The following is a 16,352-nucleotide window of genomic DNA, read 5'->3' as shown; positions in this document are numbered from 1 at the left end:
ATAAGCCTCTAAAATTCATTTTTCCATCTATAAGATCATGCAGTCAAGTGATCCATGAGTGAAATCCTTCAATGCTAGGGCACATAATGAGGTAAGAATTGGAACATTATTAATTACATATATCCAATTTTTAAAAAATTCTATTTATGTCAGTGCCAAAAAGTAGAAGCTTTACAAAAACACCAATTAGCAGGTTGATGTAGCACAATTAGCTACCCTTTTATAAAGAAAAAATTTAAACGTACTCCTAGGGAAAAAAATGACAGAAATGATCTCTTAGATGTGATTTTGTCAATTACAATTATCAAGGGGGGAGTAGACTGGTTACATCTTAAATACTCTGATTTCCTCATATCACACCAAGTGGAAATCTGTCATCTTTAATGATAGTGATTACAAAGAGACAATCAACAATCTGCATGTGAACGAGCAACACACAGCTTCCGTGCAGAACAGAGGAACACGTGGAAACAAAAACCGAGTCAGCAGGCGCAAAGCATGACATGCAATGCAGCATCGGCAGCAGGTCCCATGAAAGCCCAGCACTGCACAGACATGGATGCTGGGGTTTAGGGAATCAATCTGCCCAAGGCCACAGCGGAAGCCCCTTCCAACCCAGCCAGGCCAACTCCAGAGCCCTCGCCAGTGAACCCCAACTGCCACTTTTTAAAAAAAAAATCAACATTCTGAAACCCACCAACATAGCTTACTTCTTCAAATAAGAAATCAATCTCACAGACAGAAAGAGAACTTAATTTAAACAGAAACCCACAAATTGCAAGTAAATGCTTAGCACAGTAGTTCCCAGTTTATGGACAAATAAGTCTGTCAGTTCCCAGGGGGCCCATAAAGCATTTTCCCATGGAAACCGTGTTATTGAAAAGCCTAATTTGCTTGTGTTCTGTGGCTCAGGAGAGGAGGAAAATATTTAACACATACCCTCCTTAGGTCTGATTCGGCAAGCATTTCTCTTGAAGGTACTCTTACTTCTCAGCTCCCCCATTACAGGGATTCTAAGACCCTGCCGCCCCAACACCTTCGCTGATGTTGGTACCACACTGTGTGGAGTGGGGGACGGAGTGCACACCAACTTCTGTTCCCTCAGAAGAACTGCCCTGGTCTTAAGTACAGTAACTCCCTGCCTGAAGTCAGCACCCCAGAAAACTGTCACCACTTTTTAGTTTCTTCCATTCCTTCATACGTGAACCCTCAAATTAACTAAAACCTCTCCATTTTGATTTTTAAATGAAAGGTCCCCGCAAGGCCGTAGAGAAGCAGGGAAAGCAGACTGTCCAGGGGTATTGATGGCCGACTGCTCAAATGAATCACATAAGAATGAAGGGATGGTCAGGCACGGTGGCTCACGCCTGTAATCCCAGCACTTTGGGAGGCATAGGTGGGCGGATCACTTGAGGTCAGGAGTTAAGAGATCAGCCTGGCCAACACGGTGAAAACCTGTCTCTATTAAAAATACAAAAATTAGCTGGGCGTGGTGGTGGGTGCCTGTAATCCCAGCTACTCCGGAGGGTGAGGCATGATAATCGCCTGAACCCGGGAGATGGATGTTGCAGTGAGCCAAGATCACACCACTGCACTCCAGCCTGGGTGACAGATAAAGACTCCGCCAAAAAAAAAAGAAAAGAAAAGAATGAAGGGATGCCGGGATGCAGACAGACTCTCCTCCTGATAGATGTCTTCAGTGCAAAACTGACCTTTTTCAGGAACTTGGGGATGTCTCGTGACAGGCCTGAAGCACTGAGGCCAAATCAAGAAAAAATAATGAACTCCATTCCTTAAGAAATATGGATGAAATATAACCATGTCCTCAAAGTCTTGGAGGGAATCCCCTGATGTCCACTTCAGAGCCTAGTTTAATAACTCTGAACTCCAAGAAAACCTAGATCCAGGTTGTTCTGTTCACTGCTCTATCCCCAGACTAAGATCAATATCCAACCCACAGCTAAATAGGAAATGAGGCCAAACTGCAGTTTATACTCCATTTGCGAAGCCCTCTCAATTAGAAATTTCTGGCCAATAATCACTGGCCAGAAGGAACAACACTGCACCAAACAGCTTTTGAGGCTTTTGTACACTTTTCTTCCAGCTTACCCAGAACTCAAAACTCATTGTTCACATCTAGATACATACCCTTAAATTTTAATCTAAGAAAACTCAAACAGAGCAACAGCACAGAAAAACCATGCTGAGTGTCCAGCTTAGCACTGTGGCTCCCAAACACATTTCTTCAGAAATGACCATGCACCTTTCATCTAACTTAGTTTAATCTTTTGAGCCCTCTTCATCCAACTGGTCAGCAAACCAAAGCCTACTGAACTACAGGTTCTTCTGTTCTTTCTTTATTCTTAAAATGGAAAGGGAATACTAACAGATTCTGAGAAATAAACAATGCGACTTTCTGGGAAATCACAAAGATAAATCAAAATTTGTTTGCAACTCAAACTAAACTCTAGATATTTGCTTTTCTCAATACAGACTATCTCCAGTATGAAAATCTGAAATCCTTCAAAACCTAAAACGTTCCGAGCAACAACATGACCCCAAAGTAGAACATTCCACACCAGGCCGGGTGCGGTGTCTCGCACCTCTAATACCAGCACTTTGGGAGGCTGAGGCGGGTGGATCACGAGGTCAGGAGATCGAGACCATCCTGGCTAACACGGTGAAACCCCGTCTCTACTAAAAATACAGAAACAAAATTAGCCAGGCATGGTGGCGGGCACCTGTAGTCCCAGCTACTCAGGAGGCTGAGGCGGGAGAATGGCGTGAACCCAGAAGGCAGAGCTTGCGGTGAGCCAAGATTGCACCACTGCATTCCAGCCTGTGTGACAGAGTGAGACTCTGTCTCAAAAAAAAAAAAAAAAAAAAAAAATTCCACACTTGACTTCATGTGATGGGTCACAGTCAAAAACAGAGTGAAATCTTTTTGCATGCATAAAATTATTAAAAGTATGACATATATTGCATATTCAGGCTATGTGTAGAAAGTATATATGAAGCATAAATGAATTTTGTGTTTAGACATGGGTCGCATCCTCAAGGTATCTCATTATGTATATGCAGGCATTCTAAAAATCTAAAAATATCCGAAATCTGAAACACTTCTGGTCCCAAGCATTTTGGGTAAGGGATACTCAACCCATTTCTCTTTATAACTTGAGAACTTTACCGAAAGTGTTTATGAATACGTTAGTGCCACCAGAAATGGGTTAACCAAATGCCCATTAAACTTCGAGGGGAAAGATTCACTTATTTATTTTTGCATCTACAATTTCTGTCATATAGCAAGCATTTAATAAGCTTTATTAAAATACTAATAATGGGCCGGCTGCGGTGGCTCATGCCTGTAATCCCAGCACTTTGGGAGACCGAGGCGGGCGGATCACTTGAGGTCAGGAGTTTGAGACCAGCCTGGCCTACGTGGTGAAAACCCATCTCTATTAAAAATATAAAACTAGCCAGGTGTGGTGCTGCACGCCTGTAGTCCTGTCCCAGCTGAGACAAGAGGGTGAGATAGGAGAATTGCTTGAACCCGGGAGGCGGAGGTCGCAGTGAGCCAAGATTGCACCACTGCACTCCAGCCTGGATGATAGAGCGAGACTGTCTCAAAAAAATAAAATAAAAAATAAATAGGCAAAGAGGCAGCACTGGGGAATAAGGGAAGGAAGTAACCCCCAGAGAGGGAGGCAACACTCCTCACCCTCCCCAGAAGAGTCAACTCTGATGAAAAGAGTTCTCTAAACTTTGAGGCTAAAAATCTAGCAGTGTACTAGATCTCAGCTGCCAACAGTTCTTCCATCAATAGATTCAATATTTAGCAAAAATTAAATAGTGAATTAATGAGATTTTATGAGACCACACATCTCCTCTGATTCCATGTCATTTAAGATGGCTGACTGACAATTCCAGTTGATTTGCTGCATTGCGCAAAAGTTTCAGAAATCATCAGGCAGCAAATCTCATGCTCATTTAAAGGTCCTCATTTCTCTTCTCAAACCTGCAAAACGCTTTAAATATTAGAAACTGATGTCATCTTACCAGCACCTGCTAGTTTTCTGTAACATTGAGCTTATAAAATCAAATCTCTGCATCACAGCAAATGCAAAAGTGCTTTCTTCGTTTTTCTCATTTTCACTGAATTTTAAGTTCACAGAATGGGATTAATCATAGTAACATCACACTCTCATCCATTCACACACTTATTACCTGCTTTTGTTTAATTATTATAATGCTGCAAGCACCTGTGAATTCACCACCCAAAACAAGACAGGATCTAGACTAAGAAACCACACTCAACCATACTACTCCCCCAACCCATTCATGTAATTTCCCCGGAATCCTCTTCTCATTATTTCCTTGCTTTCCTCCTTTTATGTTAATTTTATTTACAGTTTTAGTTAATCTATTCCTTAAAAAGTGTGTATTCTTTATTTTCGCTATATTAAGCATTTAATATACAATAGTTTGTTCATTAATTCTCCCCACCGCAACTACTGAAATGTAATAAGTACATTAATAAGACTGCCAAGACCCAAACTTACCCTAATTAACGTTGACATTATTACTTAGACAACATAACACATTTATTTCATTAGGTCTGCTGCCAGGTAACAAAAAGCTGTACTTTGTAACAACTGGATATACCATAAGAAGCCAGGATCAAAAGTAAATACAAATTGCTGGTTTTTATAACTTTAAAATATTTGCTATTTCCTTCCTTTTTGTGGCAACACTTCCCTTTGAGCAACCCACGTTTCATATATGCTACATTTTTTCTTAGGAAACATAACAAACATGGTTCTGCCAGAAGGAAGAATGGTGAGTTTTCAAGATTCCACCCAAGCTGGAAAGTATTTTTTTAAAACATGTGCAACTGGCAGGAAAAAGAACATGGAAGAGTCTTCTCAGAAGCACCCCACCTACTTATCTTTCAAGTGCATCTCAGAAGCCTTTAGTGACTATTGCCCCCACATAAAACTAACCCCCCCCAACTGGTTTCCTCAAGCATACTCAGATCACAGCAACCTTGGCAAGTTATGCTGCCTATTGTTTCACACAGCGGTTTCTTCCTGCAGTGTAAGCCCCCTAAAGGCAGGGGTGTTTCTTATGTTCAGCTTTGTATCTCTAGCTCAGCACCATGCTTGAACATTGTTAAGTGGCTCTATTAATATTTTTTAAATGTGTTAGTGAATGGATGAAAAATGTTAGTGCACCTATTTAAATCACATTATTATGAAACAGTGAGATCTGCAGATCTGCTTTTTAAGCACATAACTTATGATAAGTAGGATAAAATTTAAATTGCAAACCATAATTAAGGAGAAAAAAACTACCACCACCACACAACCAATAACGAGTCAAGGTCTGAGTTCTGAGCACCTAAAGAGGCAGGCTTGTTAGCAAGAAATATTTCTATCACTAAACAGATATTCATGCATCATAAAACAAAGCATGCCTCTTTGAAGCCTAAAGAATATGGCAAGACCGGGCCCAGTGGCTCACGCCTGTAATCCCAGCACTTTGGGAGGCCGAGGCAGGAGGATCACTTGAGATCAGGAGTTCGAGACCAGCCTGGCCAACATGGTGAAACCCCGTCCCTACTGAAAATACAAAAATTGGCCGAGCATGGTTGCGAGCGCCTGTAATTCCAGCTACTCAGGAGGTTGAGGCCAGAGAACCATTTGAACCTGGGAAGTGGAGGTTGCAGTGAGCCGACTTACACCGCTGCACTCCAGCCTGGACTATAGAGTGAGACTCTGTCTCAGGAGAAAAAAATATATGTATATAAATATATATATAAAAATATATAAATATATATAAATATATAAATATTTATATATTTATATACATATATATGGCAAATATACCCAGAAAGGAACAGGAGGGGTGGTGCACTTTGGTGTCCGCAAAAAATACAGCTTAAAAAGCATCTACCTCAAGTATAAGATCTACCATGACTTTCTAAAGAATTAAAAAAAAATTTTTCCCATACCTCCATCTGACGCCCTTGTCAGTTTAATCTTTCCATTCAATCCCACCCTCTGGCTGTTACCAAAATGCCATAGGCTAGTATTGCAAACACAGTCCACTACAGTCACCTGTAATTTAGGCGAATAACAGAACTTCCTTCACTATTGACTATTATGAAAGGTTTGAGAGATGACTAGCCTGGGATCATCTGTTCCCTGCTGGGAGGAGGTCTGAAAAATTCATAGGCAGGGGAGAATGGGAAGGTAAGTTAAAACAAACCAGGTAAAAAGAAATCCACTTTAAATAAAGCTGCATTTGGAAGTGTACAACAATTCTCTCAAGAGCCTCCAGAAAGGCTGCCTTTGGTTCCGCAGAGCTCCACAACCGCACAACCTGCTCTGTTATAAACTGGACAGCACGCAGCACCTTGCTTAACTAACTCTAAAAATAAAGCCCTCTCGTTTAGCTCACTAAACTGTTACCCCATATTCCCTAAAAGCTGTCATTACGATCAAAATGTCTGCAGCCTTTACAACTAAAAATGTGGAAACTTGTGTTGCATCCTTTTAAAAACTCCATCTGCTGCGGGGAGCCAGTGCACATCTACCCATCTATTTGAGTATATGCGAATCTTGCCCTTATCTAGAATATCCTATTTCCCATCCATATGCCTGGCTCTAGCAAAATAAGGACCCTCAATGGCGCTTCTTTACTGCTTCTCAAGAAACCTCCATGTTCTGACCTGACTACTCCTGGAAACACAGCAGCCCCTCCTCAAACCTTTCTTTCTGCCTAACCTGCAGCTTCCAGAACGCACTACGGGGCTTCGCTTCTGCTACTTTCGCACTTACTTCCTCCGCCGGCAGCCTTTTTCCCACCTCTCACATCTAACAACGTACCTTCAAGACTCAACATAAGCATGACCTCCTCTCTCAAGAGAGGTCCTTCCAGACCCCACTTGCGTTTCTCAAATCAACCCGGGCCTGGGTTTTCACGCCTGCTTTCCCAGAAACCAAACTCCTGCAAGCAGGGGCAGAACCTCATTCCACCTGCATTCTCCGATCATTACACATTCTCGGGGCAAGAGGCGAAGCTCAAAGACTGCCTGGGGTCGGACGTGAGCGCTGAAACACCGCTCAAACTGCACGAGCCGAGGCGACGCCGGGGTTAGGGCTGCATTCCTGTCCCGGGCAGCTCCGGAGTCTGAGAAACGCCAACGTCTGCACTCCCAGTTCTGAGACCCCGGGAGGAACCGGCTCCGAGCCCCAGAGAGGGGCAACCGTGCAGGGCCAGGGGGGACACGCTACGGGCTACTCGGTTCTGGTGACCAGACAATTTCGTCAGGATGCGGTGCACGAGACGGAGAAGAAACGCTCTTCAGCACCAAACAGCCCGAGGCAGACATGAGGAGGAGGAGGAGGAAGGGAAGAGGGAGAAGGTCAGGGCCAGGGTCACCAGAGGCGGCGGCGGGCGGAGGGTACCGGGCCGCAGCCGCGTGGAGAGACCAGCGCCCGCCGCGGGGACTGAGACCCTCGGAGGCTCCGGCTGCGCTGGCCCGGCCTCCGCCCCTCGCGACGGGCCTAAAGCCGCGGGCTTGCGTCTAGCGCCTCCCGGGAAGGCGCGCCCGCCTCAGGTCCCGCCAGGCCACCCACCCGGGGCCGCCGGGGCGCCACTTACCCGGCCCGCCCGGCCGACTCTGCCCATGAGCCGCGCCGGCGGCAGAGCGGAGCCGGGCGGCACTCCGCGGAAACCCGCCAGCGGCAGGAGGCCTCGGCGGCGCCCACCCTTCGCTGAGTCCTCAGGGCGCTCGGCGGCGCGGGGTCAGGGAGCGCGGGCTGCCGGGAGAGCGCGCCCGCGCCTGCGCCCCGCCTGCGCCTGCGCCTGCTTCGGCCTCTGCGCCTGCGCCGAGGGCGCCTTGCCGCACTGCCCCCTGCCCGCGGGAGGACCGCACTGCACGCTCCCCTCCGCCGGCGTCTTCTTACCATCAAGAGGTGTCGCCCTGGCGCACATTTTCGAAATTCCACAAGGCTTGGGGAGCGCGGCAGCGCCCCCAGATGGTGAGGAGGAGAAGTGGTCCGAGGCCGGGCTTTCTGATAGGGGAGGTGGGGGAAGTCCCTCCAGGCCCCTCGATCTCATTCATTCAAAGCCACTCCTATATAAGCAAAAAGTTGAAAATAAGTCTGCATAGGCCAGATGCTGCAAAAGGATGGCAAGGAGCACGAGGTTAAGCGTAAGATTATGGAAACAGATGCCGCGATTAGGGGTACAGAAAAGAATGTCAATGCTATAAAGCCTCGGTCTTTAAAAACGACGTCGCTGACAGAAGCAGGGAGGGAAAGGGAAAGTGGGACTTCGGGTAAATATGATTTTTACATCTGTAATTAATTGGGTGTCAAATAGAGTTCAAGCCGATAAATCAAATAGTAGAGATTTAAGCAGACGTCTTAGTCCGAAGGAGTATACCAAGAAAGTTACTATAATCCATTAAAATCCAGTCATTAAGAAAACGGGAAAAGGGGGAAAAAAGAAATACAGTGGAGAGACAAAAGACAATCTAAAGAAATAGAGGATTAAGGACGTCATGGGATGGTATGATTCTGAGGGTAACCCAGAACAAAACTACAAAGCTTTCAAATAATCCACACATACATGCACCCACACATACATGCATGCACACACACACACACACACACAAAACCACAGCAAAAAAAATATATATATAGGGAAATATTTTAAAAAGTTACAAAACAGAAAGCGTAACCAAACTATATGACAGAACAAGACCAAATGTCTCACAAGAAGAAATATAGACCTAAGCTTACCTACTAAAAAACTACAATCTCAGATAGGAGCACAAACCATCATGCAACTCAGTGTTGTATACAAGAAAGTGCTAACGTTATTCTGAGTTTGAAAATACAAGATTGGAAAAGATATACCAGGAATATGCAAAAAAATTAAAAAAATCAGGAATCACAAACCGCTTACTACAAAGTTGATTTCAGGGCAAAAAGCATTAAGTAAGATTAAGAAGGACATTTTATAATCTTGAGGAGCACAATTCACAATCAAGAAAAAAATAGGAAAAATAGGAAAATCTTTGCACCAAATCACATAATCTCATTATTCATAGCAAACACTGTAGGAGTGAGTGAATAGACAGAAATAATTGGCACACTCCTTGCCAGACGAAGAGTACAAAAAGTAAATGGGGATTGAGAAGACCTAAAAATACAATTCCTATGATAGATCTAATATATCAAACACTGTCCCCTAAATAGACATTACATCTTTTCCAGTGTCTAAGGAATATTCACAACAATTAGTCATATTTTAAACCACAGAGAAAAATCTTAACATAGTCCAATAAGTAGAATCATATCGGTAATATTATCTGCAGCAATTCAATAAAAGTAGAAATTAATGAAAAAACAGAAAATAAAACATGCCTACCCCTTGAAAATTTTTAAATGCTTAAATAACACTTGGACTAAAAAGGAAAACAAAATCAAAATAACATAATATCTAGAAAAGTATGAAAATGACATACTCATGGGATTTAGCTCAGAGAGTACTAAGAGGAAAATTCATGGTTTTAAGTTTTTGTATCAATTAAAAACTTGGAAAAAGCTAAATGAATTAAGCACTTGTGCAAGAAACTGGAAATAAAATAAAAATGTGAGAAGCAGAAGGACGTACTTGGTCAATAAAAGAAGCAGAAAGTAATAGCGTGTAAACAGAAAAAGGAAGAAGGGCAAAGATAGAAGGTGTCTAGACTGGGTCTCTCCCCACCCCGTGATCAAAGCACCGGTGGGGGTGCAAAAGCCCTGATTAGGAGGTCCAGAGCTGCAGGACTTCCTCCAGGTTGAACCTGCTGTCTACCTGTACTCCCTAATCTGCTTGGCGTCTCCACTCTGCAGTCTGAGACCACTCCTTCCTCCCTTTTTGGTTGAAAATTTGTGCCTTTGTTCCCAAATCATTCCATCATACATACACAAGTAACTTTTTGGTTTACAGACCATAGATGCAATCACATCCATTGTTTAGGAATTTTCTAGTTTAACTTCCAGGAGGAAAACTGCCTTACTTCATTTCCTAGTACGTGAGCAGTCTCATGCTTGCCTCCATTTCCTGTCAATAGTAACAAATATCATCTTTATTTTATGCACCGAGAATCCAAAGCTTAACCCAATGGGGGAACAGAACCCAGGCCATGCAACTATCAGAAAGCGCACACAAAACGGTGGAGCTTTAGAAGAGGGACAAGACAGACGCGCTGGAGCGCCCCCTCGGGGCTGCAGAGCAAACATCGGTAGTGACTCCTGCGTAAACAAGTCGTGTGATCTGCTCCAGCTGTGCTCAGCGCCTGGCAGGAGGCTGGCAGGCAGCAGATGGTAGAATTCATCGGAAACTGGGAATTAGCAGGGCAGATGTTCCAGGAAGAAAGAAGATAAGGGCGGTGTTTGGGCTGGCAGGAAAGGCTGGGTGAAATGCTACAGTATGCAGCATGGATGGAACCGGGGGACCCCGAAACAGGAAAAGAAAGGGGTGTGGGCCCTGGAGGGAAGACAAGCTAGTTAAGACAATTTGATCAGATTATAATTTGATCAAAAACAAGTATTCCCAAGGATTCTGTGTGTAGGGATGCTTTCGGTGCACCGTGGAGAATGATTTTTGTCTCCTTTTTTGTATCTTTTTTTTTTTTTTTTTTTTTGAGACGGAGTCTTGCTCTTGTCACCCAGGCTGGAGTGCAATGGAGTAATCTCAGCTCACTGCAACCTCCGCCTCCCGGGTTCAAGCGATTCTCCTGCCTCAGCTTCCTAAGTAGCTGGGATTACAGGTGCCCGCCACCATGCCCGGCTACTTTTTGTATTTTTAGTAGAGACGGGGTTTCACCATGTTGGCCAGGCTGGTCTCGAACTCCTGACCTCCGGTGATCCGCCCACCTCGGCCTCCCAAAGTGCTGGGATTACAGGCATGTATATCTCTAAGCAGCTTCGGCCATTTCAGAAATCTTTCCTTCCTTCCTTCCTTCCTTCCTTCCTTCTTTCCTTCTTTCCTTCTTTCCTTCTTTCCTTCTTTCCTTCTTTCCTTCTTTCCTTCTTTCTTTCTTTCTTTCTTTCTTTCTTTCTTTCTTTCTTTCTTTCTTTTTCTTTCGATGGAGTCTCTCTCTTGTTGCCCAGGCTGGAGTGCGATGGTATGATCTGGGCTCACTGCAACCTCCACCTCCTGGGTTCGAGCAATTCTCCTGCCTCAACCTCCTGAGTAGGTGGGATTACAGACGCCTGCCACCACGCCCTGCTAATTTTTGTAGTTTTGGTAGAGATGATATTTCACCATGTTGGCCAGGCTGGTCTCAAACTCCTGACCTCAAGTGATCCACCCGCCTTGGCCTCCCAAAGTGCTGGGATTACAGGTGTGAGCCACCATGCCCGGCCCATCTCACAGATTTTTTAAAGTTTTTTCACTTTTTTTGTCTTTCTAAATCATTCTCTACAGTTATTCCTGCTCTGTAAGGTTTCTAATAGTAAAAATATAGGAACAAACTAGCGAACAATAACAACTTAGGGAAATTCAATTATGTTGAGAGACAAATAATTTACATGGAAGGATCCCATTTTTGTTTTAAAAATTTATAAATATATACAAAGTATCTATAAGGTATTTGCCAATATGGCTGGCTCCAGATAGGGATTATCAGGATTCTTTATTTAAATTTTTTTGCTTGTTTGCCTTTTTTATCTCTGAGTAATATGCTTGCATTGCTTTTGTAATAAAAATAATGAAAGAAGGCTGGGCGCGGTGGCTCACGTTTATAATCCCAGCACTTTGGGAGGCCAAGGTGGGTGGATCACTTGAGGCCAGGAGTTCCACACCGGCCTGGCCAACATGGTGAAACTCCGTCTCTACTAAAAATACAAAAATTAGCCGGGCATGGTGGTGGGCGCTTATAATCCCAGCTACTCAGGAGGCTGAGGAAGGAGATTCGCTCAGACCTGGGAGGCAGAGGTTGCAGTAAGCTGAGATCTCACCACTGTACTCCAGCCTGGGCTACAGAGTGAGACTGTCTCAAAAAAGAGAAAAATAAAAATAAAAATATAATGAAGGAGATCATCAATTTTTAAAGTACATAGAATTTTCTGAAATTTTTAAAGTTTTAATTCATCTTCCACCTAATTGGTGTCTGTTCTGCTTGTTTGAAAATATTTTCATACATTTTTAAATTGCATTGATTAGTTGAAAACTAATCTTTTCAATAAGAAATTTACTTTTTTAAAAACATAACTTTTGTGTGCAATTTATGGCTTTCATATGCATATTTTTTATTTTGATATAGTTTTGAGACAGGGTCTCACTCTGTCACCCAGGCTGGAGTGCAGTGGCATAATCACTGCTCACTGCAGCCCCGAAATCCCAGGCTCAAGCAATCCTCCCATCTCAGCTTCCCAAGTAGTTGGGACTACAGGCATGTGCCACCATCCCCAGCTAGTTTTTTTGTATTTTTTGTAGAGACGGGGTTTTGCCGTATTGCCTAGGCTGTTCTTGAACTCCTGAGCCCAAGTCATCCACCCACGTCAGCCTCCCAAAGTGCTGAGGTTACAGGCATAAGCCTGCACCTGGGCTCGTGTGGATATTTTTTAAGTGCCAAGCTTACATATGCACACAACCTAAAATGGTCAATAAAATGATAAACTGTTTTTATCCTTTCCCAGCTGGGAGGTTCCCACTCTTCAGCCAGTGAGGCCAAGAGCTTCATCTGTGAGTGATGCCTCCTTGGGGCACTGTTATCCTTTCCGTTGTGCCCTTTAGTGCTATCCCCAGAGAACAGGGGCAGAACAGCAAACCTTGCTCCAACGCTTTGAACAGGAGTACAGCTTTGAGTGGCAACCTTAATGTGGTCCCCAACGTGTGATCAGGTTATCAAAGCCAGATCATTGGCTTACGTGGCATGATCGGGAAATGAGTTTATCTGTGATCTGAGGGTTTCGAGGGATTAGTAACCCTTTCAAGTTACATCCTCCCCCTCCGTGGAGCAAAAGTGTTGCAAAGAGCAGTGACAACAGCTCAGCACAGAGGAAAAACATTCCTAGGAGAGTCGGGGAGAACTACTGCCAACCGTGTGCCAGGGGTTTTAGTGTAAATTATCTCACGCATTCCCAGTGACTCAACAAGACCGGTGTTGTTATGCACATTTTTCAGAACAGGAAACTGATCCTCAGAGAGGTTAGGGGATTTGCTGAAGTCGGACAACCAGTGAGTGACTGAACTCTGATGAGGACCCAGGGTTGCCTGACTGAGGTTAGTGTGCTTTTCAGTATCTTAAGCTGCCTCATAAGGGGAATATGATTTAAATAATGAGCAGGACAGCGATGCTCCCACGAGGCGTATCTCTGGCACTGTACTGTTTAGTCCCCCCAATCCCATTGGAAGTCTGCCATTCTTCCCACTCTGACAATAATGTCGTTTAACAAGCACTTCCTATGCACCAGGCTCTGGGAAGAGTGATTTACATATTTTAGCCAATGTAATCCTCCTATAGGCTTTACATGGTAGCTGTGATCATCTCCATTTGGCAGCTTGAAGTTATTTCTCCAAGGTCATAAATACCTGGACCCAGAGTTCCCAGCTTCCAAAGCCGTACTCTGAAATTCCACGCCTTGCTCCCCCAGGAAAACATGGGCAGAGCTCCAGCTCACTGTGACACACCATCTCTGTACAGGGAAACAGATTTGCAAGTCTAAGATAGCATTTTTATTTCTAACAACATTCGGGTAAGACTTGGGAATTTGGGATGATTCCTTAAAATGTTTGAATTCCATCTTGGAATTTCTGAGTCTAGTTTATTAGAAACTCATCCTAGATCTGTATCATAGTTTATTGATGAAGAATTCTATTTGGCTTTGACTGTTACAACCCAGGCTGAGCAAGCGCTTGAGTTTTAAAAGGGAGAAGTTGAGTTGGCCCTGGTCTTTGTCATCTTAGATATCACCTGAAGCCACAGATGGATAAGAAACAGAAGTGTAGACTTGGTCTTTAACCAGAATACGCGTCTGACTCTAGACTACAGGAAATGGCTGCCATATGCAGGCAAAGAAAAACAGGACAGGATAACGCTCCCTGCGCTGAGCACCTCAGGTACCAGAATAGCACAGCCCTGCACAGTAAGAGGCTTACATAGATGAGCAAAGCCAACATTCCCTTGCTTGGACCAATAGAAATGGGATGTGCTCCTGGCTGCTTTTGCAATGCAGGAGAAGTAGAAGAGGCAGTGATCTGGGGGATGAGGAATCACACTTTTGCGGGAAGCAGACTGTGACTGAGGTAAGTAAAAGAAAGAAACTGTAAGCATTTTTGCAGCTGCTGATGGAGTGAAATAAAGGCTAAAAGAACAGATTCTACACACATCCTCCCTGTGTCTAAGAATTTCTGCTACTCTGGACCAGGACCTCAGGATATTCCCTACCCACACCCCTATAAATGGCTTGCTTAGGAAGGAACTGACTCAGAAATTTCCACAAAAATGAAAAAAGGTACCCAACACAGATCAACTCAATGTTAAACCAAAAAAAAAAAAGGGGGGGAAAGTAAAATAGCCCCAGAAAGAGATTGTGATGGAACAGGCAAACACCTGGGCTGAGTATACAGTCATGGATTTTGTTAATATAATAGAGCAGTAACCTCTATAAACTAAGAGCTTAAAGCAGAGATCTAAGGGACAATATGGTGGGAAAAGGAGGTGAGACCTGGGCTGATTGTGCTCAGCAAATTAGAGCAGAAGTTGCTGTGAAAGTAGGACATCAGATAACAGACCCTGCCAAAAACATAAGAGGCCCAGATGGAGAGACCAAGAAAAGATAGCAAACCTCAATGGACATGGACAGTCATAATTTTAGCAAACTTTCCAGGTGCACTGGGATGGGATACCTGGGCAAGGGAGGGCACTAGCTGGTGTGTGATGTTAGGTGTTTGAGAAGTGCGGGAAAATGGTATCTCTAAGGACCATGGAATTCGACGGCTGTTGCTAGGTTCCATTGACGTTCTACAAAAGGTAGCTGTAGTCCCTGCTACTCGGGAGATTAAGGCAGGAGAATCACTTGAAGCTGGGAGGCGGAGGCTGCAGTGAGGCAAGATCACACCTCTGCATTCCAGCCTGGGCAACAGAGCAAGACTCTGTCTCAAAAAAAAAAAAAGGGTGTCAGAGACAACTGGGTGTGTCACTCGGTACGTGTGTCCCAGCACACCCCTGAGCAGTGGATTCCAACATTTTTACGGATGTGGCAGCCTCCAGCATATTATTAAGAGTCCCTCCCACTCTCTGCAGCTCATGTGCCTTATGGGGACTTCCAACACGTTAGCTACTTCGTGCTCATCTGGCCTGGTTGGCAAAATATCCCCGTGATGTTCAGCAGAAGAGCTGGACCATCCAGTTCTCTTCCCCATTATTACAGAGGGCAGGAGAATTAACGTAGGCCTAGGATAAAACTGTGAATGTATATTGTTCCCCCTTGCAGCTATTTCTGATTCTCTTTTATGGTTAAAAAATAAATAGCCGGGCATGGTGGCTCATGCCTGTAATCCCAGAACTTTGGGAGGCCAAGGCGGGTGGATCACCTGACGTCAGGAGTTCAAGACCAGCCTGACCAATGTGGTGAAACCCCATCTCTACTAAAAATAAAAAATTAGTGGGGCATGGTGGTGCATGCCTTAATCCCAGCTACTTGAGAGGTTGAGGCAGGAGAATCACTTGAACCTGGGAGACAGGTTGTGGTGAGCCGAGATCACACCATTGCACTCCAGCCCAGGCAACGAGAGCAAAACTCTGTCTCATAAATAAATAAATAAATAAATAAATAAACTTGGCCAAATCGTAATGCTGCACACAAGCTACCTGAGGCTGTGTTAATCTGCTCTGGTGGCTATGACTATGGCTTCTATTTCACTGATTTTGTGGTAGTCTGCTGTTGTTTTCAGGATCTCTCTGGTGTCTTCCAAGGTCAGACTGGTGAATTTAATGGAAATATGATGGGGACCACCACCCCTGCATCCTTCAGATTAGTAGTCCACCATCTATGACCCACGGGCCAAATCTGGCCCACTTCCTGTTTTTATACCACCTTTGCTCTACAAACGGCTTTCACATTTTCACATAGTTGGTAAAAAATCAAAAGAATAATAATATTTTGTGATATGTGAAAACTGTATGAAACTCAAATGTTGGTGTCCATAAGTAAAGTTTTATTCAAACTGAAAAATGTTCATTCATTCACAGATTGTCTCTAGTTGCTTGAGTGCTGCTATGGCAAAGGCAAACGGTTGCAATGGAGTCTGCATGACCCACGAGGTCTAAAATTTTAAGCAAGTCC

At 44.1% G+C, this 16,352-nt stretch overlaps 1 protein-coding gene across 2 annotated transcripts in view, besides 8 other annotated features; it reads right to left on the bottom strand.

Annotated features, from left to right (window-relative positions):
- RBM17 (RNA binding motif protein 17) overlaps positions 1 to 7,825 on the bottom strand; it is a 28,414-nt gene extending 20,589 nt beyond the window's left edge. The window contains exon 1 of one of the 2 annotated variants that reach the window (NM_032905.5): positions 7,666 to 7,825. The gene's annotated coding sequence lies outside the window, so the exon portion shown is untranslated. Of the gene's footprint in view, positions 1 to 6,887; positions 7,514 to 7,665 lie in introns of those variants that run through there. The other variant, NM_001145547.2, reaches the window with a different exon arrangement.
- Positions 40 to 539: an enhancer, noted in NCBI's record as "H3K4me1 hESC enhancer chr10:6138283-6138782 (GRCh37/hg19 assembly coordinates)". NCBI's record gives its function as "activates a minimal SCP1, AML or CMV promoter by ChIP-STARR-seq in naive H9 embryonic stem cells {active_cell/tissue: H9 hESC(naive)}" and the evidence as "EXISTENCE:reporter gene assay evidence [ECO:0000049][PMID:30033119]".
- Positions 540 to 1,041: an enhancer, noted in NCBI's record as "H3K4me1 hESC enhancer chr10:6137781-6138282 (GRCh37/hg19 assembly coordinates)". NCBI's record gives its function as "activates a minimal SCP1, AML or CMV promoter by ChIP-STARR-seq in naive H9 embryonic stem cells {active_cell/tissue: H9 hESC(naive)}" and the evidence as "EXISTENCE:reporter gene assay evidence [ECO:0000049][PMID:30033119]".
- Positions 6,329 to 7,167: an enhancer, noted in NCBI's record as "H3K27ac hESC enhancer chr10:6131655-6132493 (GRCh37/hg19 assembly coordinates)". NCBI's record gives its function as "activates a minimal SCP1, AML or CMV promoter by ChIP-STARR-seq in naive H9 embryonic stem cells {active_cell/tissue: H9 hESC(naive)}" and the evidence as "EXISTENCE:reporter gene assay evidence [ECO:0000049][PMID:30033119]".
- Positions 7,094 to 7,153: a silencer, noted in NCBI's record as "silent region_2099". NCBI's record gives its function as "represses an Ori minimal core promoter by ATAC-STARR-seq in GM12878 lymphoblastoid cells {active_cell/tissue: GM12878}" and the evidence as "EXISTENCE:reporter gene assay evidence [ECO:0000049][PMID:35858748]".
- Positions 7,424 to 7,513: a silencer, noted in NCBI's record as "silent region_2098". NCBI's record gives its function as "represses an Ori minimal core promoter by ATAC-STARR-seq in GM12878 lymphoblastoid cells {active_cell/tissue: GM12878}" and the evidence as "EXISTENCE:reporter gene assay evidence [ECO:0000049][PMID:35858748]".
- Positions 7,524 to 7,963: a silencer, noted in NCBI's record as "silent region_2097". NCBI's record gives its function as "represses an Ori minimal core promoter by ATAC-STARR-seq in GM12878 lymphoblastoid cells {active_cell/tissue: GM12878}" and the evidence as "EXISTENCE:reporter gene assay evidence [ECO:0000049][PMID:35858748]".
- Positions 8,124 to 8,173: an enhancer, noted in NCBI's record as "active region_2952". NCBI's record gives its function as "activates an Ori minimal core promoter by ATAC-STARR-seq in GM12878 lymphoblastoid cells {active_cell/tissue: GM12878}" and the evidence as "EXISTENCE:reporter gene assay evidence [ECO:0000049][PMID:35858748]".
- Positions 12,698 to 13,198: a transcriptional cis regulatory region, noted in NCBI's record as "chr10:6125624-6126124 region (GRCh37/hg19 assembly coordinates) targeted for CRISPR interference". NCBI's record gives its function as "negatively regulates IL2RA gene expression in anti-CD3- and PMA-stimulated Jurkat T cells {active_cell/tissue: Jurkat(+anti-CD3 and PMA for 4hr)}" and the evidence as "EXISTENCE:mutant phenotype evidence [ECO:0000015][PMID:33828297]".

This window comes from Homo sapiens, chromosome 10 (assembly GCF_000001405.40).
Source record: "Homo sapiens chromosome 10, GRCh38.p14 Primary Assembly".
NCBI classification, from domain to species: domain Eukaryota; kingdom Metazoa; phylum Chordata; class Mammalia; order Primates; family Hominidae; genus Homo; species Homo sapiens.
The sequence above is the reverse complement of the archived record's forward strand: the minus strand, read 5'-3'. Positions and strand labels throughout refer to the sequence as shown.